Source organism: Homo sapiens, chromosome 14, assembly GCF_000001405.40.
Source record: "Homo sapiens chromosome 14, GRCh38.p14 Primary Assembly".
Classification (NCBI taxonomy): Eukaryota; Metazoa; Chordata; class Mammalia; order Primates; family Hominidae; genus Homo; species Homo sapiens.
Window position 1 is genome coordinate 53011084 of NC_000014.9, and position 2913 is coordinate 53013996.

General features: G+C 42.6%; 1 pseudogene; it reads left to right on the top strand.

The window, feature by feature from the left end:
• Nucleotides 846-1318, top strand: NDUFB3P3 (NADH:ubiquinone oxidoreductase subunit B3 pseudogene 3; annotated as a pseudogene).

Genomic DNA, 2913 nt, shown 5'->3' on the forward strand with positions numbered 1-2913 from the left:
CCTGACCTCTCTCCCCGCTTCCCTGTCTTACTTAAGCCTGGAACAGCTCTTAAGCCTGGCACCTCTGCAGCTGTGACTCATTGCAAATGCTTTGCATTCCGGGATGTTCTTCAGGGTTTTGGGTCTCCCTTGTGGCTCAAAGAACCATGCAAGTTGAAAGGGAGGAGAAAAAGAGGCCCTGCAGCTGCCAAAACATTGCAGACATGAGGCGGGAAATTGTTAGGAAAACTGAAAAGGTTTTGTGCTGGAAGAACCCCAGCCAGCCACTCCCTCGCTTGGGCCTGCTTGTAACTGGAGCAGAGCTAGGGGACGCCTCCGTGGAAGCTGAGTCAACTGTGGGTTGTCCCAGCCCCCATGAGGTTCCATTCACAGACCCAGAGGCACCACACCCCATCTGGAGACCATCTCCATGTGTCCATGAAGGACTGGGTTAAAGCCACTCTGGAAAGCAGAAATGGGGGTGTCATCTAGAAGTATTGTTCGTCTCAAGTGTTAGTTTACCTTTACGTCACTGGAATGATTTTGTCAGCTTGTTCTGCCTCCTCACCACCTTCAGCTGTACACAATTTATGTTTATATTCAGGTCAATTGACATCTACTCTTATGACAGCTGTGTTCTTCCCTGACCCTTAAAGCTATGAGACCCTATGTTGAAGGTCTTTAGGTAAAAGAAATTAGTGTCTTGCTGTCCATTGTTAATTCAATGGAGATGGGGGAGGGTAAGCTGTGCCTTCTCACCTTCACTTCTTTCCTGATCCTCTATAAAGACTCCAATTGGGCATAATTTTAAAAACCTTTTAAATAAACTTTATCGATGTAAACTTACATATAAGAAAACACACCCGGGTTGGCTCCGGTTGCAGAGTTGAGTGTCCTGAGAGGTCAGAATGCCGTCAGACATGGCTCATGAACATGGACGTAGTAAAATGGAACTTCCAGATTATAAACAATGGAAGATAGAAGGGACACCATTAGAAACTGTCAAGAAGAAGTTGGCTGCGCAAGGGCTAAGGGATCCATGGGGTCAAGGTGAAGCTTGGAGATACATGGGTGGCTTTGCAAATAGTGGTTCCTTTATTGGTGCATTATTAAAAGGATTCAAGTGGGGATTTGCTGCATTTGTGGGAGCTGTAGGAGCTGAATATTATCTGGAGTCCCTGAATAAAGATAAGAAGCATCACTGAGGATAATACCTGGAAGTACCATAGTGGTTTCTTAACTCTTCAGAATAAGATTTCTTCACTGTAGCCTACTTGTCTGGCTTGTCCCTTAAAGAATATTAGTAAGATTTAATAAAGTAAAATAATGTATATGCAAAAAAACCCCACTCATTTTTGGTGTATAATTTTATGAGTTTTGGCAAACCTACATACCCCTGTAAAGCATAATTTGAAGCCAATGGCTTAATAGATAGGAAAACAATGAAATAAATGCAGAAGGGGGGGTCAACAGCATTTCATATTCACCTACATTTCTCTAACCCCATGGGTGCAACATCGTCACATGTTAAGGCTCCTTTGCCATCAGACAATATTCAATATAGTTTTACTTGGATTTCATAGGAGAAAACAACTTGGATTGAACAGAAAACAAAATATGAAGTGAAGTGGAAAGAGAAAAAAATTGCTACATTTCTTTTTTTAAATTTTTATTTGAGTATGGGGATACATGTGCAGAACGTGCAGGTTTGTTACATAGGCTAGATTTCAAATATCTTTTTTTCTGTATAACAAATATTAGCTCTTAAAAGTTCTTTGTAAAATTAAGAAATTTCGGAAGTAATGATGCTTTTTTTTGTGAACCACACATTTCAATTTTATACATTGATTGACTTCCACAAAAAAAGAGGATTATCCTACTTCCTCTCCTCACATTCCCCTCTCCTCAACTTTCATATTTATTTATTTATTTATTTTTGAGATGGAGTTTTGCTCTTGTCGCCCAGGCAAGAGTGCAACGGCGCAATCTTGGCTCACTGCAACCTCCGCCTCCTGGGTTCAAGCGATTCTCCTGCCTCAGCCTCCCGAGTTGCTGGGATTACAGGCACCCGCCACCACACCCAGCTAATTTTGTATTTTTAGTAGAGATGGGGTTTCTCCATGTTGGTCAGGCTGGTCTCGAACTCCTGACCTCAGGTGATCCACCCGCCTTGACCTCCCAAAGTGCTGGGATTACAGACATGAGCCACCACACCCGGCCTTCATATTTTTATTTTGACAAGTTTATAACATTAACATTGTCTTCAGTGATAGTCCAACAGTTTTGTATTGATCTATATTTAAATTAATTTGGTGTTCACCAAAACCTTTTTTCTTTTTGAGACAGTCTCACTCTGTCGTGATCTTGGCTCACTGCAACCTCTGCCACCTGGGTTCAAGTGATTCTCCTGCCTCAGCCTCCCGAGTAGCTGGGATTACAGGCACCTGCCACTGTGCTCGGCTAATTTTTGTAGTTTTAGTAGAGACAGGGTTTCACCATCTTGGCCAGGCTGGTCTTGAACTCCTGACCTCGTGATCCACCCACCTTGGCCTCCCAAAGTGCTGAGATTACAGGCATGAGCCACCGCACCCGGCCCACCAAAACCTTTTACATGGCTTCTGCTCCTTTATTTCTTTATCGAAGTCTTCTCTTAATTGCCAGGATATCATCAAGTAGTTTCTCTGAGAGAGGCTCATAGACGCTGTGTTTCCTGATTTTTTTCTTGTTTGGGAAAGTCCTCTTTGCCCATGTGCGGGAACTTATTTGCATAAGAACCTTGGGTTACACTCCATTAGCCATTGGTCCACTGTCTTCTGCCATTAAGTTCTGAGGTCAGCCTGTCCCCTGCATATAACGTGTTATTATTTGTCTGAATGCCTGAAGAATTCGTTATTTTTGAATTTCAATAGGTAGGTCAAGATATGTCTCAATATT